Below are 27,525 nucleotides of genomic sequence, written 5' to 3' on the forward strand. Positions count from 1 at the left end.
CTCAACACTACCACTTTGGGAATTAAGGTTCTAATAACAGTAACTTTCTGGGGGGACCCATTCAAACTATAGCAGAGATCAAAAGTTTAATTGCTCATGCCTGTGGGAGCACTTTGGGAGGCTGAGGTGGGCAGATCACGAGGTCAGGAGTTTGAGACCAGCCTGACCAACATGGTGAAACCCCGTCTCTACTAAAAACACAAAAATTAGCTGGGCATGGTGACGGGTGCCTGTAATCCCAGCTACTCAGAAGGCTGGAGAATCGCTCGAACCCGGGAGGTAGAGGTTGCATTGAGCCAAGATCATGCCATTGCATTCCAGCCTGGATGACAGAGCAAGACTCCATCTCAAAAAAAAAAAAAAAAGTTTAATTGCTCAGTTTGAATCCCAGCCTGCTATTATTAGCCATATGACTTAGGGGAAATTATTTAACCTCTCTGTGCCTTAGTTTCTTTATCTGTAAAATGGGAATGATATTAATGTATACCACATATGGTGAGGATTAAAATAATGCATGTAAAGGCTTACAACAGTGCAGGCACATGGTAAGGACTCAATAAATATTGACTGCTATTGTCATTATCATTATTAACCAAGAAAAGGAAGCCAAGATGAAGAGCAGATATGTGTCAGTTTTGATCTTCCAGGTTGAAGTGTATAGTAGGCAGTTTGCAGTATAGGTTTGGAGCTCAGCAAAGAAGTCAGGGCTAGAGACATCAATTTGGAAGCAAAAAGTATAGAGAAGTTACTTTAAATCATGAGCTTCAGTGAAATGTCAAAGATAGGCGTTGTAGTTCAAGAAGGAATAGATGGGGAATGGAAGCAGGAGAAACGAACAGGCATTCTCTGAGCCAGGCAAGAATTGCTACTTACAATTCTTAGTAGATATAATATACTTTCCATTCCCAATAACCCTACAGCATCATATTTGTTATGCTGGAGCCAGGCCATACTGGCTTATTCAGTGACTTCATATTGGTAGCTTGCAATTGGCCTGGATGAAAGCATTTACACTGCAGAAATGGGAAATGCTACATATCAGAGCTCCCCTGGCCTCCCAGGCTCCCAGTCCTTGCCCTGCCAAGAGCCATATTACTAGGGCAACATATAATTATCCTTACTGTTGAAGAAATGGAAGCTTAGAGAAGTGAAGCCCCTGCCTTTTAAATTGCACAATGATTCCTCTTCATTGAAAATGCCCTTTAACTATTTGGTTTTCCAAAGTTGATATATTTGATGCTTCTAATACTTGAAAACTTAAGTGTATGCCCACTGTGAGTGAGTTATTACATTACTCTAATATTGTATTAGAAAACAATCCTGAATGAGTTTAGAGAAATAGCTTAGAGCATCTGTTGATGATGATTTAAAACACAGGGATTATATTTCCTTGACTGTTAAAGAGTTTGCTGACTAGAAACCATGAGCTGGTTTTATTAGCTATTATACTAAAAAGAGTCATTGAACAAAGGGTAAGTCAGATGATGTGGGAGGGAATGAAAGAATTACAGGTGAATAGTCTCAAATTATTTAATTCATTATACACCATACCTTAATGAGTAGATGAAAAGTTGAATGAAACACTCATTTTACTCTAGAACAGTGTAATTTAAAATGGATGTGTAAAATCGCTTAGCATGAATTCAGAGACTTTACAGGAAAAAAATATATATTTTTTTACTTGTTTCTAAAGTACAAATTCAGTTTATTAATCCGTTTATGACACAGTACACAGGAGGCAAAGTGTTTCACATCATAGACTTCACTTCCAATTCCTTGGAATGTTCATTTCTTTGGCTTACAGGAGAGACTAGACAGGAAAGCCAGGCAATGCTTAGGCAACTAAAATGAGGTTGGGGGCAATGCTAACGTCATCCTCACAGGAACAGCCACAGGGACTGCTAGTCACAAGCGGGTTTTCTAGACCTGTTAGCTGGAAGCATGGGGAGCACCATTTCTGGACGCTCGTGCTGTGTCGGACTTCAGCCATCTCCACCACACAGGTACAGCACCCTTAGTGTCTTGCTGGATGTAATAGTACAGGGACTTGCTATACTTTCTCTTGAATTCAGACCTAATTTTCAACATGTCCACTTCATTGTGGGAGACCATGATTCTGATCAGGACCTTATCTTGAGTCCCCATGCCCATTATGGAGTCGTACAGCCGGTCAGCGAAATACAGGGGCTTGTTCTGAATACACTGGACCAGGTTCAGGAAAGAATTTTCCAGGTCTCCTTTAACCTCTTTCTTGATGCTCTCCAACATGTCATAAGGACTGTAGCTCTTGTACCTATCAAATACTTTCTGGAAGTGGGACATGCTCCGCTCGGTCATGACGCTGATCCACTTGGGAACTTCAGTTCCTTTCCTCTTCACCCCAGCGTCATAGAGATCCCGGGCATCTTGGTCAATCAGTTCATAATCAATGACAGAGCCATCCTCTGCTCTTCTACCCTTTGCCAGGGCAACCATCAGCTTGCAGAAGTCACCAGATGTGTCCGAAATAATGTCCTTCTCCAGATCAGTCTTGTACATTTCCTTGTAGACTCTGTTAATTTCCTGCAGCTCTTGGTTGGTTCTTGAGCAGATGATCTCAATGAGGGAGTCCTTGTTGGTTCCCAGCCCCTTCATGGAAGATTTTAGCTCAGAAGCATCATACTGAGCAGGTGTCTTTAATAGGCCCAAAGCCACTATCTAGGTGGCCAGATAAGGCTGACTTAAGTGCTGATACAAGTTCCTTTTTGGTCCTTCTCTGGTAGGTGAAGGCAATATCCTGTCTCTGTGCATTGCTGTGGTTAGTCAAAATGTTGACAGTGGTGATCTCATCCACACCTTTGGTCTTGATGGCCATTTCAATGTTCAAAGCATCCTGCTCAGCATCAAATTTGGTGTAGGCTTTGACTGACCCAAATGCACTTGGGAGTGTAGAGTGTTCACCCTCCAAGCTGAGCTTGCACAGGATTTCATGAACAGCAGATATTTTGAAGGAAGCTGGGCTGGGCACCAAGACCTGAGAGCGTCCCCAGATGCTGAGCTGAAAATATATTATTTTATGCCCCTCTCCCCTGCCCCACCTCTGCAAACTACCACCTTTCCTCCCTAAAATATATGAGGAGGGAGGTCGTGCTAAGTTGGCATCTTAGGTCATTATAGGACCTTCACCCCATCCTTGAGAATCTCATCCTTGGGAACTCTTCTTGCATTTCAAGTGGAAAAAGATGCAACTAATATTGACTAAGTGCTAGGCACTATGCTGTGTTATAGGGTGCAATGGTGTACAGGACAGATGTTGCTCCTGCCCTCAAGCAACTTACAGTGTAGTGAAGGATACAGACAGTTAAATAAAGTATCATGTGTTAAAGGATGGGGTTTTCTAAAGGATTTTAAAGAGAAAACATGATTCATGTGAGCCCAAAATGTAATTATCTTCACCACCAAAACCCAGAAGAAGCCATGTGTGTATTGGGGAAAAAAGTGTTATGTAAAGGATCAGGAGAACCAGGTTTTATTCTTCCCCCTGTCTCTGATGATCTCGGTAATGTGTCTAGCTTCAACTTTCTCATCTATAAAATGGGGATGATAATGTTTGTCCTGCTATCTCATGGGATGGTATGTGAGAAAATGTACATGAAAGTGCTATAAATATAATTGAACATTTTGTTTTCCAGTGATACAATGGGGGTTGTAATTTACTCACTCATTAATAACTTATTCATGCACTTTTTCATCCAGCAAACATTTGTTAAGCACCTACTTGATTGAAGATCCTGTGTTAGATCTTACACTTGGCTCAGTTTCATCTTGTTGCATGATTCCATTCAAAACATCTAGATTTATTTAGCATTAACTTCTTTTTTTTTTTTTTTTTTGAGATGGAGTCTTGCAGGCTGAAGTACAGTGGCATGATCTCAGCCCACTGCAACCACTGCCTCCTGGGTTCAAACAATTCTCCTGCCTCGGCCTCCTGAGTAGCTGGGATTACAGGCATGCGCCACCATGCTCAGCTAATTTTTTGTATTTTTAGTAGTAGGGATGGGGTTTCATTATGTTGGCCAGGCTGGTCTTAAATTCCTGACCTCAAGTGATCCACCCACCTTGGCCTCCCAAAGTGCTGGGATTACAGGTGTAAGCCATTGTGCCCGGCCAGCATTAATTTCATATTAAGTTGGAGTGGGTGGTGAGAGGAAATCTGCATTTATTGATCCCCTATTTCAGTCTAAGGGTTCACCTTATGTAATCTTCCTGGAGGGGTAGGTGGAAGTGACCAGGAAGAATATGGGTGAGAAGCTGTTGAATTAAAAATTCATTTTGTGCTTCATAGGCTAGACTTGCATCTGGAAAAACAAAATGATTTAATTATGGAATTATAGAATAATTGTTAAATTGATTATAATTACTTTAAAAATTCTTGTTATTCATTCTACTAGCTAATATGTAACCATCAAATGAAATCTTTTACATTAAAGTAGATAGAAAAATATTTTATAAGTATTATATGTGTTTTGTGTTATTTATATTTGTTATGAAAGAACTAGTTTTTATTATATATTTAGAATACTTTAGAGAGAGAGAAGAGACTTTCTACAAATGAAACAGAATTTACTGAAAAGCTTGAAGAGTAAGGCATGATCCCAAATTATTTCTAACTTCTGGAATTGCCTTAAGACACTTTACAAACACTTGAACATTGCAGCATAATGACAATCTACTGTAGTGCTGCATCACCATCAAGATATTTCTAGTTTAACTGTTGGTGAAAATAGTTGGCATCAATTGTCTTCCCAAGTATATGCTAGTGGTGTCCTTTTAATCTTCAGGAGTAACACACTGATTCTGCTGTGCTTTCAGGTAGAGTTTAAAAAATAATAATAATCAATAATCTCCAATACGACAAAAGAGGACCGTAAGAATCAGGAGATGTTACCAGGAATCCCAACCAGCCATTCAGAAACCAAGCCATAGAGCTTAAAGAAAAGATTTTTTAAAAACAAATATTGCAAAATAAAAATGGTAGTGCCTGTTTCGTTTAGCTTCTTTCAAAAATATATAAGCAATGTTAGACAAACAGACATTCCTCTGACCTTGTGATTTAATTTACATGTGGGCAACAGACTTGAGCTCTCCTTAAATTCAAACCAAGAATAAGAGCTGGGCCAACACATTGCCCTTGAGTTCAGCAGAGGTCATGGAACCTCTTTCCAGCAGTGTGGTCTTTTGCAACACAGTCCATTGCTCTTGTGACCTAGTATTAGCAGGTATGGAACATCTCACATTCATGTCAAGCTAAGCATAGAGTCTTCCTTCTCCTTGCTCTGAATGGTCTATTACTATGGAATCCAACTAAATATCTTCCCAAGTTTTAAAATTATACCCCAAAATACAACTATTGCCCATTTCTACTCACACTGAAAAAACGTGTGCTTATTTCTGTAAAGAACAAAAAGTGTTAGTACTTTTTCCTCATATTTTCCCTCCTCCAACATCATGTCCATATTTTCAAAAGGAAAACAGACTCTTTTTGACTAAGACACCTCCTTGACTAGTACTAAAGCACTATTTTCTCTGTTTTTTTTTCTTTTCCTTTTATAAGCTGCTACTGTCTGCATGGTCTTCTGAATAGAATAGGCATCATTCTAGCAGGATAGACAAAAGGCTAGAGGAAGGAGAGCAGCAGGCAGTTTTTGTCCCTACCTGGACCACAAAGACAGTAAATCAGTGTTCATCTATTCTGTTCAGGTGCTTTTTAGCCCCTTCTCTCCTGTTTTTCAGTATTTCTTTCCCTTCCTTGTATGCCCTCTAAGCCTGGGTGCACTTTCAATTTTATATAAGCAAGAATCTAGAATAGCCTGGGTTTTATATAGTCACTTCTTTGGTTTATGGTCCAGCCTCAGTTAATTGGTCTTCATTTCCTCATCTTGTTTAATTCCATGCTTGTGTTTATCAATTTTTTTTTTTTTTTGTAGAGATGGGTTCTTACTGTGTTGCCCAGGCTGTCTCGAACTCTTGGCCTCAAGCAATCCTCCTGCCTCAGCCTCCCAAAGTGCTGTGATTACAGGCACGAGCTATGATGCCTGGCCTATAAAATGTTTTTGATAAATGAAGTTTTTATTCTTTTATTTATTTATTTATTTATTTATTTATTATTATTATACTTTAAGTTTTAGGGTACATGTGCACAATGTGCATGTTAGTTACATATGTATACATGTGCATGCTGGTGCGCTGCACCCACTAACTCGTCATCTAGCATTAGGTATATCTCCCAATGCTATCCCTACCCCCTCCCCCCACCCCACAACAGTCCCCAGAGTGTGATGTTCCCCTTCCTGTGTCCATGTGTTCTCATTGTTCAATTCCCACCTGTGAGTGAGAATATGTGGTGTTTGGTTTTTTGTTCTTGCGATAGTTTACTGAGAATGATGATTTCCAATTTTATCCATGTCCCTACAAAGGACATGAACTCATCATTTTTTATGGCTGCATAGTATTCCATGGTGTATATGTGCCACATTTTCTTAATCCAGTCTATCATTGTTGGACATTTGGGTTGGTTCCAATTCTTTGCTATTGTGAATAATGCCGCAACAAACAACCCCATCAAAAAGTGGGCGAAGGACATGAACAGACACTTCTCAAAAGAAGACATTTATGCAGCCAAAAAACACATGAAAAAATGCTCACCATCACTGGCCATCAGAGAAATGCAAATCAAAACCACAATGAGATACCATCTCACACCAGTTAGAATGGCGATCATTAAAAAGTCAGGAAACAACAGGTGCTGGAGAGGATGTGGAGAAATAGGAATACTTTTACACTGTTGGTGGGACTGTAAACTAGTTCAACCCTTGTGGAAGTCAGTGTGGTGATTCCTCAGGGATCTAGAACTAGAAATACCATTCGACCCAGCCATCCCATTACTGGGTATATATCCAAAGGACTATAAATCGTGCTGCTATAAAGACACATGCACACGTATGTTTATTGCGGCACTATTCACAACAGCAAAGTTTTTATTCTTAAGAGACCCTGGCTTGTCCATACCACCTTTGAAAAATTATTTCTAAGCTGAGCATTTTAGAATTGTTTCTGTTTCTAGCCCATCTGTTTTGCTGTACCTGTTACCTAGCTATTATTCAGACATGGGGGAAAGACCAAAAATAATATTTGTTTTAAAACAAATATAAAATAAAAATGGCAGTGCCCGTTTCATCTAGATTCTTTCAGAAATATATAAGCAACGTTAGACAAACAGATGTTCCTCCAACCTTGTGATTTAACTTACATGTGGGAAACAGACTCAAGCTCTCCTTAACTTCAAACCATGTTGGCACATATCCCCCTTCGAGGGCCAACCACTCCTTTCCTGCTCCCCACTACCAGAAACAACTCGCCATTTCACGAGTGTTCACTGCTTCCATATTCATGCATATTATGGGGATTCTATGTGGGTCGTGTATTGAAGATCCTTTCTTCTGATACATTTGAATTAAAATATGACAGTATCTGGATCTCAAATTTTTCTTTCACGCTAGTGCGAGTAGATGAGATGCAGAGTTAGTGAGTAAACTTGATAGGGTCCATGATTCAATGAACTGACCACCACCTGGGTCTGGTGAGAACCAGCTCATCTATGATGATTCTGCCCAGCAATTTTGTTGTTGATTTTATTCTAAGTTTAATCCATCACCAATTTCAATTCCTAAACCCAAAAATCTGTTTCAGACAAGTCTATTCCCAAACAGTGCTTAAGCAGGTGTTTTACATTAGCCACCACCAGTGCATCCTTGTCTACCCTTTCCTAAGGCACTGCATTGATGTCGAAAAACAAAATAGCAATGGCTCTTTTTTTTTTTTTTTTTTTTTTTGAGACAGAGTCTTGCTCTGTCATCTAGGCTAGAGTGCAGTGGTGTGATCTCAGTTCACTGCAACCTCCACCTCCCATGTTTGTTTAAGCGATTCTCCTGCCTCAGCCTACCGAGTAGCTGGGATTACAGGCACACACTGCCATGCCCAGTTAGTTTTTGTATTTTTAGTAGAGATGGGGTTTCACCATGTTGGCCAGGCTGGTCTCGAACTCCTGACCTCAGGTAATTCGTCCATCTCGGCCTCACAAAGTGCTGGGATTACAGGCATGAGCCACTGTTCCCGGCCCAAATTGCTCTTTTGAATATAAATGAAATTATAAACCTGAAGAATGGTTCTCTCTCTCTATGAAAAATTTATCTTCCTTCCTGGTCATTTTTGAGCAAAATTCATTGTTTCCATTCATTAATATTTACATCATCCTATTGAAATAAATCATAAAAACTTCTTTTAAAACAAAACCAGATGTCCGTTAACCTGTAGATGATTTGCTGTTTTTCTCTCTGCCTCATCTATTCTTTTAAAAGAGAGTCTAGCCGAGGCGGGCGGATCACGAGGTCAGGAGATCGAGACCATCCCGGCTAAAACGGTGAAACCCTGTCTCTACTAAAAATACAAAAAATTAGCCGGGCGTAGTGGCGGGCGCCTGTAGTCCCAGCTACTTGGGAGGCTGAGGCAGGAGAATGGCGTGAACCCGGGAGGTGGAGCTTGCAGTGAGCCGAGATCCCGCCACTGCACTCCAGCCTGGGCGACAGAGCGAGACTCCGTCTCAAAAAAAAAAAAAAAAAAAAAAAAGAGAGTCTAGTATGGCCAGGTGTGGTGGTTATTGTGGTATGTACCTATAGTTCCAACTAGTTGAGAGGCTGACACAGGAGCATCGCTTAGGCCCAGGAGTTTGAGACCAGCCTGGGCAATATCGCAAGACCCTGTCTCAAACAAACAAAACAAATCAAAAAAAGAATCTAGTATGGGTGGAAATATTTTCTTGGATTAATGAATTTCCTTTTGCCTTTCTTATCTAATCTACAAAGCACCCTGCGAGAATATCTTTTTATAATTTCAGGAAGAATATCCAGCCTCTGAGATATTGAATCTTTGAAAATAATCTATAAGTAAATCCATAATATGAAAATCGCCTACTATTTTTATAACTATCTGTGGCCTTCGGTTTGTCAAATGTACTGAAAGCCAAGCGTCCACATTTCTTCCAAGAGCTGCTGAGTGAGAGGGTAGAATTTTGGCAAAACTGTAAAATAAGGCCCTTTCCTGTTGCATATCCTTAGGGCAAGGCCCCTTTGCCAGGTTTCCCTCTCCCACTAAAACCAAGAATGGCAGGACCCAAACTGAGTCTGAACCATCCCAAATGCCCCACACACCCCAAATGCAAACCAGGTCCACAAAGATAGAAGACAGAGGCAGAGTGACCAGGGCTGAGAATGTTTATTGCCATGCCCAAGGCAGCACAGACCTGACAGATAGCAGTGCCATAGGGTAAAGTGGGAAAGCCATGTCAGATAAAGGCAGGCCGTATTAGTTTTTATTATGATGTCTTTGTGGGATCTAAGAATATTTTAAACATGTTAATATGCAGCTACAAATTAATAAGAGAAGATTGACATTTACTTAAAAAAGTGATTTTGCAGAGACTGTTGTCAGGAAGAGAGGTTTAATAGCATATGGATTAGGTTATTGGGGAGGGAGGGTGCCCTTTTTTTAAAGTATATTTAAAAACAATGCATTCTCAGGTACCTGTGGAAATCTGAATTATTCTCTTGCTGAAACAGAGAAATCTAACCCTTTAGTGCTTAATTTTTATGATTTTATCATTTATTTTAGGTACCAAAGGAAGAAATAAAGGAGAGTTTACAAATCTTCAGGGGGTAGCTGCATCTACAAATGGAAAGATATTAATTGCAGACAGTAACAACCAATGTGTGCAGGTATAGCCCCTAATTATATACCTTTAACTACTTATATTGATAAAAATATATATAGTTACATATATTCCTACTTTAGACTTCAGATACATGGTGTAAGGAAAAAAGCTTATGTTTATGTAGACTTTTCTTCAAATAGAGTTTGCGTGTTCTGATCTCTGTATGTATGGCAGATGTTTCTGCCTATGCCTTCCTCAGCAATGCCTGTACTAGTTCACATTCCAATGAATGTAATTTATCTTACAGATATTTTCCAATGATGGCCAGTTCAAAAGTCGTTTTGGCATACGGGGACGCTCTCCGGGGCAGCTGCAGCGGCCCACAGGAGTGGCTGTACATCCCAGTGGGGACATAATCATTGCCGATTATGATAATAAATGGGTCAGCATTTTCTCCTCCGATGGGAAATTTAAGGTAAGATTAACTACTAATTGTTCACTAAACAATGGAGAGAAGGAACAGGAAATACAAAATGAAATTGCATATTTCTTTTTTGAGATGCAGTGCAACATTCAACAATTCTTCATACACAAAGATATCTGACATCTAAGTTTGTGAAGTGAGAGTAACAGTGATAATTTCATAAATCTATTCATATATATCCTAAATGTGGCTTTGTTTTTTAAAGCAATTAGGTTGCTCAGTCACTTTTTTTCTTTAAAACCATAGATTTACAGGGAAACTGGTCCTGTTACCTCAATTCAATGAAAAACAACAAGGTTTTCAAAAGAGTTATTAAGAGGCAGTTTATATTTCTCAAATTAGTCTACATGTTGTCACTTAGGAAGTACTTTTTACTTTCTCAGGCCTGTGACAGATGATATGGGAGAAACAGAATTGTAAAAAATAGTTTCCACCTTTTAAAAATGTACAGGCCCATTTTGGAAAAAAGACTCAAACACAAGAAATGACAGAAAACAATTTATGTCAGTCTCTAATGAGTCGTACATTGATACAATCTGAAAACATACGTACATAATATGGGACTTGGAAAAAAAAAGAAAAGGCTGAATTTCCAGAGAAAATGGAAGTGGAGCTACACTTTGAGGGATCCCATTGTTTGATATATTTGCTATCATTCCCAGCGTCAGCTTTTTGCAAATAAAAATTTAACTCAATGTCTTCACCTAATTGCCAAAGAGTAGAGAGCCCTCTGGTGATAACAGAAATCTCTCTTATGAAGTGTCATCAAAGAATTGTATCAGCCCGCCCATTTTCTACATTTGCTCATAAAAAAATTGTGAGACACGTCGTCAAAGATCTTTGTAAGGGCCATTTGCATTATGCCTTTTTTTTTTTTTTTTTTTTTTTTTGAGACGGAGTCTTGCTCTGTCACCCAGTCTGGAGTGCAGTGGCGCGATCTCAGCTCACTGCAAGCTCTGCCTCCCAGGTTCACGCCATTCTCCTGCCTCAGCCTCCTGAGTAGCTGGGACTACAGGTGCCCGCCACCACGCCCGGCTAACTTTTTGCATTTTTAGTAGAGACGGGGTTTCACCGTGTTAGCTAGGATGGTCTGGATCTCCTGACCTCATGATCCGCCCGCCTCGGCCTCCCAAAGTGCTGGGATTACAGGCGTGAGCCACCACGCCTGGCCGCATTATGCCTTATATATTTCCCTGTCCAGCCTACTAGAGGCTTCTATTTCTGTTGATAACATGAGTTTTAACTCAGATCAACACATTGCCATCCCAGCTTATTACTGTTTGGCCATCTGCAAATCGTAACTTCCTTGAGCTTCAATAGCCTTGTTTTTAAAATTTTGATTTAAAAAAGATCTATCTTGGCCAGGCGCAGTGGCTCAGCCTGTAATCCCAGCACTTTGGGAGGCCGAGGCGGGCGGATCACAAGGTCAGGAGATCGAGACCATCCTGGCTAACACGGTGAAACCCCGTCTCTACTAAAAATACAAAAAAATTAGCCGGCCGTGGTGGCGTGCACCTGTAGTCCCAGCTGCTGGGGAGGCTGAGACAGCAGAATGGTGTGAACCCCGGGAGGCGGAGCTTGCAGTGAGCCAAGATCGTGCCACTGCACTCCAGCCTGGGCGACAAAGCAAGACTCTGTCTCAAAAAGAAAAAAAAAAAAAAAGATCTATCTTGCCTGGGCATGGTGGCTCATGCCTGCAATCCCAGCACTTTGGGAAGCTGAAGCAGGAGGATTGCTTGAGCCCAGGAGTTCAAGACCAGCCTGGGAAACATGGCAAGACCCTGCCTCTACAAAAAATAAAATTAGCCAGGTGTGGTTGCACAGGCCTGTAGTCCCAGCCACTTGGGAGGCTGAGGTGGGAGGATTGCTTGAGCCCAGAAGTTAGAGGCTGCAGTCACCCGTGACTACACCTGTGCACTGCAGCCTAGGTGACAGAGTAAGACCCTGTCTCAAAAGAAAAAAAAGACCTATCTCATAGGATTTAAGCAAAGACTAAATGAGATTTTATGTGCCACATACAAAATAAGGATCTAAGAAATGAATGTTCTTTTCCATGCCGCTAGTAACCCTGTCCAAAAAATGAAGTCTTGTTTGGTCAGCTGTGATCTGGGCTTCATGTCCTCATGCAGGCACCTGGTGGTCATCACTTTGTCTAGGAGTTTGGAGATGCTGCTTTTCATAATCCAATCTGGAATTCTAAAGATTACTCAAAGTGTACTTATTGGTTTCTTTCTGGAAGAATTTCTGTTTTCCTTTTTAAAGTCTTCAGACTGCTGTAGTCCCCTCATTGTTTTAATGAAATGAGTTACGTAATTGTGAAACTCTCAGATTTGAGCCTCTGTTTTGTGTGAGGCAGCATCTTGTCAATTTTGGAGACTGAAAAACTGTCATTTTTTATTCCATAATATTGCATGCAATTCTTCAATCACCCTTGAATTTTTGGTTTCACTAGAAATTTAATGGCTCTGTATGATGACCACATATATATAAAAATCTCCTGCCTTTCTGTAGCTCTAACTTCTTCCCCCTTTTTTGCATTTTAATAATTGTATATGTGGTAAGACATACCCAAATATGACAAGTTTAATGTGAATATTTATATCTTGAATATCTTGAAAATGTTTATATAGTTTGGAGGCAACCCATTTGTTTATGTTTTATACTCTAGCAAAACCGTGATCTGTCTTTGTAAATTCAGAAGCTAATACTAAAATAGGTTCACTTACGGAGACAGGAGTTTTATGTCTAAGGAAGAAGGGCTCTCTAAGCATTTTTTGTTCAGTGGTTCAATAGTCTATCTGTAATAGACACTCTTAGAAGAACTGGGTTCTTAGAGTTGGAATATTAAAGGTAATAATGAGAATAAACTCTAAAGAACACTCATGCCCCCTAGAGGATTGGGGGAGTGGAGGTGGTGTAGTTTCAGCAATACCCTCTTCTATGATAGGTGTTGATCAAAACCCAAAGGGTAAAAGGATAGCATGTAAAAACACTTTAGGACCCTCACAGGAGTTCATCCAAGTGGAATATCCACAGGTATAGACAGAGATACTTATTTTCTTCTTTTTCTTCTTTGGTGGGACTCAGTAAAATTAAACAAGTGCTGAGAAAGACACACGTTTAACACCAGTGTAGACTCTTTGTATTTATTCCTAGTAGTTCCAGAGATGTAACATCTTATCTCCTTTTCTTTTATTCACCAATTTATTAGCCCTAATTTTTATTTCTCTCTGCCTCCTCTGAATTTATTCTATCTTCCCCACTGCCTCCTATCTTCCAGCCCATCTAGAAACCTTTTCTATCCAAACAAATGGAAACACCTCTGGCCACCTTACTCTAAAATATCTCATCTCTTTCCTGTTCAATTTAAGGAACTATTTGTTGAGTTAAATACCCTGATTAAACCATTCCAAAGGCAGGGTTAAAATATTTTTGCTGGGCCGGGCACAGTGGCTCACATCTGTAATCCCAGCACCTTGGGAGGCCGCAGCGGGCAAATCACCTGAGGTCAGGAGTTCAAGACCAGCCTGGCCAACATGGTGAAATCCCATCTCTACTAAAAACACAAAAAATTATCTGGGCATGGTGATGGGCGCCTGTAATCCCAGCTACTCGGGAGGCTGAGGCAGGAGGATCACTTGAACCCGGGAGGCAGAGGTTGCAATGAGCTGAGATTGCGCCATTGCACTCCAGCCTGGGCAACAAGAGCAAAACTCTGTCTCAAAAAAAAAATATATATATATATTTTTTGTTGTTTACTATTCTGTTTAAGATGGGGTTGACACAATCAGGGAAATGCAGGGATTCTTACCTTTCACTTGGTTGAATCCAGTGCAGCTAAACTAGGAGTGATGAAGGGAAGTGTAAAGAAATTTTGGTTCAATGTTTAAGTTATTCTTTCAGATCTGCCCTAGTTGTCACTACATGATAGAATGGAAGTAACCCTTTATTTTCTCTTTTTATTCTAGATAATTATCCATTTGATATTATTTGGTTGAGTCATCTAAGCAACTACAAGTGTTCATAATGTTAGGTAGTAATGACATTCTTGTTTTAATCATCGAAGTGCCTTCTCTCCCTTTTGATCTCTGCTGACTTACCCTCCATTTAGACATGAAACAACAAATGCCATTTCTTTACCCACCATTGTGTTATAGCCTCTTTGATCTTTGGGCTAGATTGGAGAATCAGAATCAAATTTACACAGCAGTTCCTCTTGCCAAGAAAACCACTGTTTCTTTCCTAAGTAATTGTGTTCCTTTGCTCTAAAGAGATGAAATCTGAATCTTCATCATTTATAAACTTAGAAGAATAAAAGGAGCATATAAAGTCTAAAGTCCCCATCATGCAAAGTCCCATCCTGCTACTAGAAAATTTAAAAATACATATGTGGTTCACATTATATTTCTATCAGACAGCACTAATATAGAGAGATAAAATAAGAAGGCTAAAGCATAACCTATGAGAATATAACTTTTTGGGTTTTCTAAGATATAGACGCTGATTTCTCACTTTTCCTTCCAGAAGTCTATGTACATACATGCACACATATAACACATGTGGACTCAGACTACACTCATTGTTCCTTACCTTAATTTGTTTAATAGCATGTCTGAGAGTTTTTGTTGTTGTTGTTGTTTTCGAGACAGAGTCTCGCTCTGTCACCCAGGCTGGAGTGAGGTGGCGCGACCTTGGCTAACTGCAACCTTCATCTCCCAGGTTCAAGTGATTCTCCTGCCTCAGCCTCCTGAGTAGCTGGAATTATAGGCACCCACCACCACACCCAGCTAATTTTTGTATTTTTAGTAGAGATGGGGTTTCACCACCTTGGCCAACTGGTCTCGAACTCCTGACCTCAAGTTATCCACCCACCTCGGCCTCCCAAAGTGCTGGGATTACAGGTGTGAGCCACCGCGCCCGGCGAAGAGTTCTTTCATAAAAACACATAGATCTGCTTCCCTCCAACACGTCAAGCCTGGGTGCCAGGGAGAACTGTGGTTCTTATAGTTTCCCTGACTTAACATACATTCCTTCCTGCTGTTTCCTCACCTGGGGTGGTCCTTCGCCTTCCTTGTCTGCTGTGGCGTCATCAAGTTTTCACTTCACATGCATTCTGAGATGGCCTAATTGAATTCTCCCAAGTATATTAAAATGAAGACTCAATACCACACTCTTTAAAGAGATACAGTAGACATGTTTGTCCCTGCAATGTGACTGAGACATACTTGAGGGCAAGAGCTACGTCTTATTTGTGTTTGTTTGCCATGTGCCTAGAATACCGTCAGGCACATAGTGGGTGCTTGGGCAGTGTTTGTAGAATTAGGAAATAAATAAGTGAATGAGTGAAGCACTTCTTTATACGTAGTCTAGAAAATTAAGCTATAGAAAGAAAAGTAAAGGTACAAGACCTGTATCTCATGGCAAATAGACATTTAAATACACACCACAGTCTACTCAAGAACAGGAATAAAATTTAAAATACGGTATATGATTGATAGAAATCAAATGCTTTTCCCCTATTTTAAAATATGATAAAAAGTGGAGCCATTTAATCATTATGATTGCCCTATAATAATGCTAGACTTTTAAAATTAATGTATCCAATAGATATTCATTGAATATTTATTATGCACCAAGAAGTGTGTTGCCCCTGAGTACACAATGGTGAATAAAACAGATGTGACTCCCGCCCAAGGAGAACTTAATTCTCGTAAAGTTTAATGCTAGATGCCAGGCAATTTTGATATTATGATCTATAACAATGACAGTGATGGCTTCCCTACAGTGACTGCTTGCTGTGTGCTACACTCTACAGTAAACCCTTTACCTACCTTATTTTACTTAATACATCTTCCAAAAATGCCATTAGGAGTTGTCGAGTTGTCATTTTTTGGACATTTTTTAATGTATAAGGAATCTGAAGTTTAAGGAAATGAAATCCATCTGTGCTATTCCAGGTGTGTTTAAAGCAAGCAATGGAAGTAGGTCATTCTTCTGAGTCATAATCCAGTGATCTTTCACCAGATCACACCGCCTCTTCAGCAGGGAACTGTGACCCCAGTTTAGGGGATCCTAGACTATTTTTGGTGGTGATCTCTTTTAAGAATAAGGATTTTAAGGGCTGGGCACGAGGGCTCATGCCTGTAATCCCAGCACTTTGGGAGGTCGAGGTGGGTGGATCACAAGGTCAGGAGTTCAAGACGAGCCTGGCCAACAAAGTGAAACCCTGTCTCTACTAAAAATACAAAAAAAATTAGCCAGGCATGGTGGTGCACGCCTGTAGTCCCAGCTATTCAGGAGGCTGAGGCAGGAGAATTGCATGAACCCAGGAGGTGGAGGTTGCAGTGAGCCGAGATTGCACCACTGCACTCCAGCTGGGACAACAGAATGAGACTTCGTCTCAAAAATAAATAAATAAATAAATAAAAGAATAAGGATTTATATAGATATCAGCAGCAGATAATGGATGTGACAAAGCCAGTTTTCCAAGACAGAAGTTCATTGTGATATATGAGTAGCTGTGTACCCGTTTGAACCTTCAGGTAAATGTTGACCAAAACAGTGTTTATCTTCATGTTCTGTAGTGGTTTAAACTTTGACTCTATACTGTACTTCTATTTCTGTACTTGTTTCAAACAGACAAAAATTGGATCAGGAAAGCTGATGGGACCCAAAGGAGTTTCTGTGGACCGCAATGGGCACATTATTGTTGTGGACAACAAGGCGTGCTGCGTGTTTATCTTCCAGCCAAACGGGAAAATAGTCACCAGGTTTGGTAGCCGAGGAAATGGGGACAGGCAGTTTGCAGGTACACTCGATGGTAATATGTAAACCCCCTTTTTTATGCTTCTTCTGCTCACATTTGCATGATGTTGGAGCATGTTGAAGACACCGCATCCCTAGTGTGTTTGCTGGCTTTGGGAAAGATGCTGGGGATAAAATCTAAGCAAAAGCATGTTTCGTTGCTTGAGCCTTAGTCACCGCCACCCACCCGGCAGTAAGTTGAGCTGCAGTCCTTGTGTGGTTTTTATCGGTGGCAGTTCACAACTCAGAAGTCTAGCTTTGAAATATTCATATTAAATAAGGTATAAATTTTAAAATAAAAATATTTGAAAAACAAGGAATAACTACTGTTTCAGCCTAGCTGTAACTTTGCTTAAAAAGCCACTGAATGAGAATTTTTTTTCACCTTTCTAGGTTATTGTAAGAGAACAGGAGTCTAGAATATTTGCTAGGTTTAAGGAGGGCAGTCTGTTTTACGTCTCTTTGGTGTAGCACTTTGCAATCACAAGCTTATTTAGGTTTTTGCATTTGCAAGAAGAGGCTGAAAATAGCTTATTAATTTTCTTTTTGAAAGGATGCTTTTGGCACTTAGTATTAATTTGCATAATATTTGTTTATGCTTTGTCTCCAGTTCTGCCAAGTTTCTGAATGTCACCCAGAATTATAGTGTGGGTTTTCTGTTGTTTTGTTTTGTTTTGTTTTGTTTTTGAGACAGGGTCTCGCTCTGTCACCCAGGCTGGAGTGCAGTGGCGTGATCTCAGCTCACTGCAGCCTCGACCTCCTGGGTTCAAGTGATCCTCCTGCCTCAGCCCTCCAAGTAGCTGGGACTACAGGCATGTGCCACCATGTCCAGCTAATCAATTTTTAAAAATTACATATTGGAGTCTCTTTTCCAATGCTGAGTTGCCACGTCTTTCCTTGGTGGGAGCTGAGGGCTCTAAAATGACTAACAGATACTCAGGGAAGCTGGCAGATGTGACTTTTAGATGGTGGCACGGAGAATGAATTCTGATGCTTACTGCTCCTCCCACTTCATTAGGGCTGCTAGAACTCCCAGCCTGCTTGAGAAAGAGTCAGAATAGACTGGCGCAAGTAGAGAATAATATAGGATCCATGTTATCTGCAACTGGAGGTCTGGCTGAATGATCTTTCAAAGACTGAGTCTATGATTCTTTGTACTTTCTTAAATAACTAAGTTAATATATTAAGTTTGTTTGTTACAGTAACTGCTATATGTAATCACTTTTGTTGTAGTCATCACATATTTTTTTCCATCTTTATTGCAGGTCCCCATTTTGCAGCTGTAAATAGCAATAATGAGATTATTATTACAGATTTCCATAATCATTCTGTCAAGGTACTACAAGCACATGAGTTGTTGTTAACTTTTAACTGCTTTTATGGAGAAATTGGTCTGCGAGAAAATAATGCAATACTTACATATGGCACCAAAGGGAGTTAACCAGCAGAGTAGACTTTGTTCTGCTCAAAGATGCCGGTTTTAACTTGGACTTACAGACCTTGGAAAGTCAGGAAATTGAATAAAATGTGGTGGCAATAAGTTGCTTAATTTGAAACTGGTGCAAATGAAGAGGACTTGAAAATTAAATTTTAAAAAGCAATTCGTTGAACTTAGAGGCAGAACTTTCTGAAGCTTAATGTTTTGTGGCTAGTCAATAAATTAAAATCACTTTTTCAATTTTCCGCATCTTTTTGTTAAAAAAAAAATTAGATGTTCGACTCTGTTACAACAACAGACAGCATGGGGAGGGGGATAATCCTAGCATACATTCATACAGTATATTTTATACTTCTTAGAATGCTTTCACACATTTGGTGTTCTTTAGAAAACAGTGACCTATAGTATATCTTTCTTACTAGGTACCAGGGGAGAGAGAATTGAACTTTATTATGAGAAAATCAGGAAATAATAAAATGGTTCAAAACACATTACTCACTTACTGAAATGATGAGGAAATATTTAGTAATATCCTAGATCAGGCTTCTCAAGGTGTGATGCATGTTCCACTGAAGGTATGATCCGTGGCCATAGGCAGTACACTGGTGGATATTTTTATTTTAAGTTATGCATTTATTTTAGGGCTACCTTTTGTTTACATCAAGTGATGCTGTTTTGCACTTACAGACATAATAAAGTTTTTCTTTTAAATACATTAATCTAAATTTTAAAAGGTGAGTCATTTTAAAGGAAAAATGATAAGGAAACAGCAGAGGATGGTATGCCAGTGAGTAAAGTTTGCACTTAGAAACAATGACTGAGCAACCAAAATTAATAATGACTTATCAGTGCTAATGACTGCGATAGCTAGATAAGGGGTAGGTTTTTTAACACCCAAAGGTACTCTCTGTGATGTCCTTTCTGCATCCTGGAGAGCCTCTAACCTGAGTAAATGGAGAGGGCTTGGATCTTTTTGATGGGTGCCAAGTCCCTGTGCAGACAGTAGCGCACAGTGGGCTGCGGAAATGGGGTCAGGATAAGGGAACAGGGTGCCCACCGTTGCTTTTTTCTGAAACTGCTCCCTGCCATATTGTCTCTCCAGAGATGCTCACATGGTGGCATAGGTCCCCCCTACACTCAAATGCAGATAATCTGCATTCTCTGCTGAAACTACTGTCCATGGGAAGTGTCTTGGTAAAAGGAATAGGATAGTGGAAAAAGTTGGTAGCCAAAGAAGGACGGAAGTAGAGAGCAAAGAGGCAGCAGTAACCGGGCTGGGGACTGCCTCCCCAAGAGTTATAACAGTGCTGGAGAATGAGCACAACTGTCAAAGGATAACACAGGTTGTTCTCATACTTCCTACTCTCACTCACTTTGTAGAGGAATCATTCATATAACTACAGGGCATTCAGCAAGAAGGAAACCCATATGAGATCCTAATAGTACAAAGGCCAGCAAATGCTTGCATAGGTTCTGCCCACTCCCAGCTGAAAGACAGTCATAATTAATCAAGTGGCTCTTTTCTACTAAGCGCAACTGTGATCTCAGAGCCTTTCCTGTCCAGTGCTCCAGGCAACCTCTAAGAATCAACTGGCATTGGTATGTGGGACGGCTCCTATTTACCAGTCCTGGCTGACACTGTAGAAAGAATTAAAACATATGTAAGTAGCCAAAATGCAAGGCAGGTAGCACTAAATAGTTTCATAAAATAGGTACATATAAAGTTTCCTAACTTTCCAAAAGAAAAGAGAAGATTTCCTTAATTAAGATGATCAGAGGAGACTTCCAAGTGGAGATGGTATTTGACATGAGCAGAATTTTGAAATCAGGAAAGGGCTATCATCAAGGTGATTTTTTTAAAAAACTTGCTTTAAATATTTATTGTAAAAAGCAAAGCTGTAAAAACTATTTAAGCTGATACTTCTGCCTCTTAATTTGTTTTCATGTGAATAATTTTTAAGTAATTAAATGGCATTTTAGTCGGGAAAAATAGAAAATATGAAACATTTATAATTCTTAATATTCTGAAAACTCTTCAAGTTTTCAGCATGGTAGAAGTAGATTATTTTAGCTATTTATTTAAACTCAATTTTCTTCTTGTTTTAAAAAACCATAGCCTTTCGTTGTTGTTTCTCTTCTTTTTGACAACTATTGCCAAATAAGTTTTATGGAATACTTGGGTTTTTCTTCCCCATGTAATGCTGGGCAGTTAGCAATAGTTCTGAATTCAGGTCACTTCTCTGTTGATAAGTGTAAAATGCATATCTATAGGTCAGTGCTAACAAGGGGTCTAGTTAGCTTCTTAGCTATCTGCAGAATATATTTTCTTTTCATCACAAAACAAGTAAGACTAGATTTGGCATCCTTCATTATCCCAAAATGAAGCAAAACTACTTGAGTCATTTGGATTATGCCCAGGAAAACATATTGACTCAGAAAGATAAACAAGGCTGGGCGCAGTGGCTCACGCCTGTAATCCCAGCACTCTGGGACGCCAAGGCGGACAGCTCACCTGAGGTCAGGAGTTCGAGACCCGCCTAGCCAACAGGGCGAAACCTCGTCTCCAGTAAAAATACAAAAATTAGCCGGGCGTGGTGGTGGGCGCCTGTAACCCCAGGCCCTCAGGAGGTTGAGGCAGGAGAATTGCTTGAACCAGGAAGTGGAGGTTGCGGTGAGCCAAGATTGTGCCACTGCATTCCAGCCTGGGTGACAGAATAAGACTCCATCTCAAAAAAAAAAAAAAAAAAAGAAAGAAAGATAAACAAAATGACTATTTGTAGGGCTTAGTAAGGGAAAAAAATAGAGAATAATAAATTGTGTCCAGCATAAACATGTTCCCACTGGTCTTTAAAACTACAATGTGTTATGTAAAAGGAGACAAAAAGAGTCAGAAAAAAAATTTAAATATGGCATCTTAGTAAAAGCTGGTTGTTCTTGCCCTGGTCCTTTCTAAAGAACCACAAAGGTGGCTTGCTTTCTTGGCAAGTACGTAATGAATTCAGGAAGTAGCCATGACTCTTTCTTTTTTATCGTAATGTGAGTTTAGCCTGTAGAGATGGAAGTGTCCTACTTTCCCAAGGTACTTACCTAAAAGTAATGGTCATTTTGATCTTCTGTAATCAGAGATGACAACAGGTGGCTCTCTAAAAGGTCTTGAGATCATCCCCAAATGAAGATCTGTACTCAAATATAGTGAGCTCTTTCAGTTCTACATTTGAGGAAACCTTACTCTCAAAGTGCCTTTTACATAATACTTTCAGATTTGTCAATGAATATTTCTATGCATCTAGGCATCATGACAATGGAAGTTAAAAATAATGTCCTGGAGACATTTCAAAACCATTAGGTATCATCTGAATCATCAAGATACAATTATGCTTACTATAGTGTTATCATTAAACATTAACATTTACTTTTTTCAAAATCAGTGATCTGTATTGATACATATTTAGTAGCACTCTATTAATAAGAATATGTAATTAACCACAGCACTCCACTGCTTGACCATATCAGATGTTAGAGAATTTGCTTAAGAGTTCTGTTTAGCCCCCTACTTCTAACAGCTTCCCGTCTCTCTACTGAGAGATAAAAGAGTAATAGAAAATAGAGTAATAGAAACTACTTTTATATTCATCAAAGCCTTAGGATCATATAAACTCTCGAACTAAAATATCTTCTGAGGGTAAATAAAAAAGCCCTTCTCTTATTTCTCACCTGCTGCTACCACACATGTGCACACACACATGCAATGAATTTCTCCCATTCTAAGTATGGAGTCCAGCCTACTCTTTCTAGTTATGTTGATGTAGTAAAATGATAATAAATTCTGAGCATCTGGCATAACAAAAAACTCCTACTCTCTGATCCAACTTTTAATGGTCATCCATCCTGTTAGAAATATAAATATAATGCCCATTCTTGAAATTAGCAATTTCTTTAAAGGTGGGAAGAATAATATTATTGAAAATTATAGCACTTCTTACTCATACTTACTTGTACAGTATTTTATAACAAAGGTATCATTCACATAAGGATTTAATAACCAGATATAAGCCAAAAAAAGTGATGATTTAACAAATGATAAATCAGATTTATACAGTAATTTGGGGAACCACAATGATATGCAGTCTGTCTTGTAGATTTCATTTTCTTTTTTTAGAATGTCTTAAATGATAAGTCTTGTTATAAATAACCTGCTCAAATAGATATTTTTTTAATCCATCATGTTGGTTCAAGTATTTTGATGTAAAACAAAATAATTTAAAAATATTTCATACAGGTGTTTAATCAGGAAGGAGAATTCATGTTGAAGTTTGGCTCAAATGGAGAAGGAAATGGGCAGTTTAATGCTCCAACAGGTGTAGCAGTGGATTCAAATGGAAACATCATTGTGGCCGACTGGGGAAACAGCAGGATCCAGGTAGATCAATGTGCTAATGTATATGGTTAGAGTGTTTGGTATTTGTTAAAAGTGAAGAATTTGCTGTCCCCCAAACTGGAATGTTTTCTCTTTTCCATTGGTTAGGACATAGAACCATAGATACTCTCACCAGAAGGACCAAACTCAGCAAGATGGAGTAGAAAAAATGTTACCAGACTGAAACCCTCTAAATTGGGGTTTTAATATGGACCCCACAGACCCCCACAAAGGGTCTGAAGATAGAATTCAAGGGGGCCATTGAATAAAAATACTACATTATTATATTTATGAACCTCTGGCTGAAAATTATCATTTCCCTTAATCATGAATATAAGCAACAATCATAGTAATTTTAGTAATGCCTATGACTTTGTCACCAAGAAAAATCACAGAAATTTTCATATCATATTGTTGCAAAAATCTTGAATTGTCACTTATTCTCATCACTACTTCAAAATTACAGTAATTATTAGACCCATTACTATTTCTTATTATTTAATGTGCTAATTTTTAGAAGCACACACATATTGCTCTATCATAATTTAGTAATATTTCAATAGCTATATTTTAATATGGTTTTTTACAATCCCATGTGTTTTGTTTTATGAATTTTAAAACACTATTGTGCTAAATGACCCTTGAGTCAAAGAGGGAGTCTCAAGGAAAATTGTAAAATATATTGGACTGAATGAAAATGCAAATAGAACGTATCAAAATTTGTGGAATTTAGCAAAAACAATGCTGAGAGGGAAATTAATACGCTAAATGCTTCTATTAGAAAAGAGGAAACATTTTAAATCAATGGTCTAAGCTGCCATCTCAAGAAGCTAGAAAGAAAAGAGCAAACCCCAAACAAGCAGAAGGAAGCAAGGCCGAAATTAAAGGCTGGGCGCTGTGGCTCATGCCTTTAATCCCAGCACTTTGGGAGGCCAAGGCAGGCAGATCACTTGAGGTCAGGAGTTCGAGACAAGCTCGGCCAACACGGTGTAACCCCATCTCTACTAAAAATACAAAAAATTTGCCAGGTGTGGTGGCAGGCGCCTGCAAGCCCAGCTACTCAGGAGGCTGAAGCAGGAGAATCGCTTGAACCCAGGAGGAAGAGGCTTCAGTGAGCCAAGATCACATCATTGCACTCCAGCCTGGGCAACAGAAGGAGACTCTGTCTCAAAAAATTAAAAAAAAAAAAGAAATGAAATTCAAAACAGAAAAGCAATAGGGAAAATCCATGAAATAGCAAACTGGCTCTTTGAAAAGATAGTAAAACCAACAAAACCCTAGCAAGACTGACAAAGGAAATAAGAGAAAAGACACAAAATACTAATATTAATACATGTTCTGTAGACATCAAAAGGATAATAAGGGAATTCTGTGAACAACTCTACATACACAAGTTTGACAACTTAGATGAAATAGACAACTCCTCAAAAAATACCAACTCCACAACTCCCGTATGAAATAATTTGAATAGCCCTATAACTATTAAGAAAATTTAATTCATAATTTTAAAACACCAAAAAGAAATGTCTAGATGGAGATGATTTCACCATGGAATTCTTCCAAATGTTTAAAGAATTTAGTAACAATTGTATACAATTTCTTCCAGAAAATAGAAGATAAGAGAATACTTCCCAACTCATTTTCCAATCAGCTTTTGAAGCCCTGATACCAAAACCAGGCTAAGACAGTACAAAAAAGAAAGCTACAGACCATATTCCTCCTGTGTGTAAAAATTCTTAAAGATATATTAACAAATATAATTCAGCAATATGTAAAAATTGCTCCATGACCAAGTGGAGTTTATTCCAGGAATGCAAGACTGGTTTAGTATTAGAAAATCAGGGAGTCTCTGAGCTACTCTGGCTTGGGAGGCTGCCCTTTAAAAAATAAAAATAAAAATAAAGAAAATCAGTCAATGTAATAATCCACCATAGTAAAATTCTAAAGAAGAAAAACTATATGATCATATCAATTGACACTGAAAAATCATTTGACAAAATTTAATACCCATTCATGACAAAACTCTCAGAAAACTAAGACTCTCTCAACTTGATAAACAACATCTATGAAAACCATAGCTAACACCATACTTCATAGTAAAAGACTGAATGCATTCCCTATAGAGCAAGGATGTCTGCAAGGATGTCTCACCATTCTTGTTCAATATAATACTAGAAGTTCTAGCCAGCACAAAAGGTAGAAAGGAAATAAAAAGCTTACAAATTAGAGTGGAAGAAATTAACCACTCTCCCTGTTTGCAGATAACATGATGTTTACATAGAAAATCCCAAAGAATCTATAAAAACAGTTCCTAGAATAGGTGAGTTCAGCAAGATTGCAGAATATAAGATCAACATACAAAAATCAATTATGGTCAGGCACGGTGGCTCATGCATGTAACGCCAGCACTTTAGGAGGCCAAGGTGGGAAGATTGCTTGAGGCCAGGAGTTTGAGACTAGCCTGGGCAACACAGGACGACACTATCTCTACAAAAGAATACAAAGATTAGCCAGACATGGTGGCACATGTCTATAGGCTCAGCCACTCAGGAGGCTGAGGCATGAGGATTCCTTAAGTCTGGGAGTTGGAGATTGCAGTGAGCTATGATTGTGCTACTGCACTCCAGCCTGGGTGACAGAGCAAGACCCTGTCTCTTAAGAAAAAACAAAAAAAAATTATATTTTTATAAACTAGCAACTAACAGTGAAAACCAAAATTAAAAACACAATACCATTTAGAATCACTGAAAAAATATATACTTAGATATTATAACAAAACATATTCAATATTTGTATGCTGAAAACTATAAAATGCTGGCAAAAGAAATCAAAGAAGTTCTAAGTAAATGGAGAAACAACTGTGTTCATGGATTGCAAGACTCAACAATGATGTCAGTTGTCTTCAAATTAATATACAGGTTTAACACAAAATCTCAGCAGGATTTTTTGCAGATATAAATCTTATTTTAAAATTTATATGGCAAGGCAAAGGAAATAGCTAAAACAATTTTGAAAAAGAAGAATAAATTGAGAGGAATCACTCTACCCTTACAAACCCATAGAGTAAGCTATATGACTTACTATATAGTTACCATAATCAAGGCTATGTAATATGGTGGAGGAATAAACACATACATCAGTGGGACAGAATAGAGAATCTAGAAATTGCTCCCACAGTTGTACAGCCTATTGCATTTTGACAAAGGTACAAAAGCAATTCAATGGAGGAATGATGGCCTTTTCAACAAATGGGACTGGAACAACTAAGACCACCACAGAGGAAAAAAAGAATGAACATTAATTTGTACAAAAAGTTGACTCAAAATGGACTGTAGATTTAACTGTAAAATGTAAAACTATAACATTTTTAGAAGATAATGTTTGAGGAGATAAACTTTTAGAATAATTTAAGAGAAAATCTTTGGGACCTAGGGCTCCATGAAGAGTTTTTAGACATAATACCCAAACTATAATCCATAAAAGAAAAACAATTAACAAATTGGGTTTCATAAAAAATAAAAGGTTTTGCTCTGTGAAAGATCTCTTTAAGAGGATAAAAAGATAGGCAACAGACTGAGAGAAAATATTTACCAACTGAATTTCTGACAAAGGAATTATACCTAGAATATGTAAAGATTCTCAAGACTCAGCAGTAAAATAATTTAACAATCCAATTAGAATAATGAACAAAAGGCGGCTGGGTGCTGTGGCTCACATCTGTAATCCCAGCACTTTGGGAGGCCAAGGCGGGTGGATGACCTGAGGTCAGGAGTTTGAGACCAGCCTGGCCAACATGGCAAAACTGCGTCTCTACTAAAAATACAAAAATTAGCTGGGTGTGGTGGTGTGTGCCTGTAATCCCAGCTACTTGGGAGGCTGAGGCAGGAGAATCACTTGAACCCAGAAAGCGGAGGTTGCAGTGAGCCATGATCACACCATTGCACTCCAGCCTGGGTGACAAGAGTGAAATTTCGTCTCAAAAAAAAAAAAAGAAAAACGAGCAAAAGGCATAAAGAGAAATTTTACTGAAGAGGATGTATACATAAAAAGATGTGCAATATCACTAGACATTAAGGAAGTACAAATTAAGACCATGGTGAGATATTACTGCACACTTATAAGGATAGCTAAAATTAAAAATATTAATAATGCCAAATGCTGGAGAGCATGTAGAGAAACCAGATCTCTCATGCATTGCTGGTAAAAATGCAAAACTACACAGTCAGCCTTGAAAATAGTTTGGTATTTCTTTAAAAACTAAACATATACTTACCATACAACCCATAAATTATACTCCTGGCTGTCTGTCCCAGAGAAGTGAAAACTTACGTCCACACAAAAACCTGTACATTGTTGTTCATAGAAGATTTATTTGTAATAGCCCAAAACTGAAAATAACCCAGATGTCTTTCAATAGGTTCATGATTAAACAAACTGGTATGTCTATACTATGGAATATGACTTGGCATTAAAACGGAACAGACTAATGATACACTCAACAACTCTGATGCATCTCAAGGGCATGATGCTGAGTGAAAAAAAGCCATTTTCAGAAGGTTACATACTATATGATTCTATTTGTGTACCATTCTCAAAAAAATAACAAAATTATAGAGAAGGAAAACAGATTAGTGGTT

The 27,525-nt window shown here is 38.8% G+C and overlaps 1 protein-coding gene and 1 pseudogene across 34 annotated transcripts in view; one reads left to right on the forward strand and one right to left on the reverse strand.

Annotated features, from left to right (window-relative positions):
• The window catches only part of TRIM2 (tripartite motif containing 2), a 187,155-nt gene that overhangs the window by 153,617 nt on the left and 6,013 nt on the right, over positions 1-27,525 (forward strand). For 20 of the 33 annotated variants that reach the window (NM_001375517.1, NM_001375514.1, NM_001438045.1 and 17 more), the window contains 5 exons: positions 9,706-9,809; positions 10,053-10,220; positions 16,869-17,037; positions 18,299-18,369; positions 22,751-22,891. In NM_001375517.1, the coding sequence (NP_001362446.1) occupies positions 9,706-9,809; positions 10,053-10,220; positions 16,869-17,037; positions 18,299-18,369; positions 22,751-22,891 (653 nt within the window). Of the gene's footprint in view, positions 1-9,705; positions 9,810-10,052; positions 10,221-16,868; positions 17,050-18,298; positions 18,370-22,750; positions 22,892-27,525 lie in introns of all 33 variants that reach the window. The other 13 variants (XM_011531796.4, NM_001351056.2, XM_047449953.1 and 10 more) reach the window with 1 other exon arrangement.
• ANXA2P1 (annexin A2 pseudogene 1) lies at positions 1,690-3,032 on the reverse strand (annotated as a pseudogene). Its single transcript, NR_001562.2, has one exon. The product of NR_001562.2 is annotated as an annexin A2 pseudogene 1 (transcript).

The sequence above is a fragment of the Homo sapiens genome, chromosome 4, assembly GCF_000001405.40.
Source record: "Homo sapiens chromosome 4, GRCh38.p14 Primary Assembly".
NCBI classification, from domain to species: domain Eukaryota; kingdom Metazoa; phylum Chordata; class Mammalia; order Primates; family Hominidae; genus Homo; species Homo sapiens.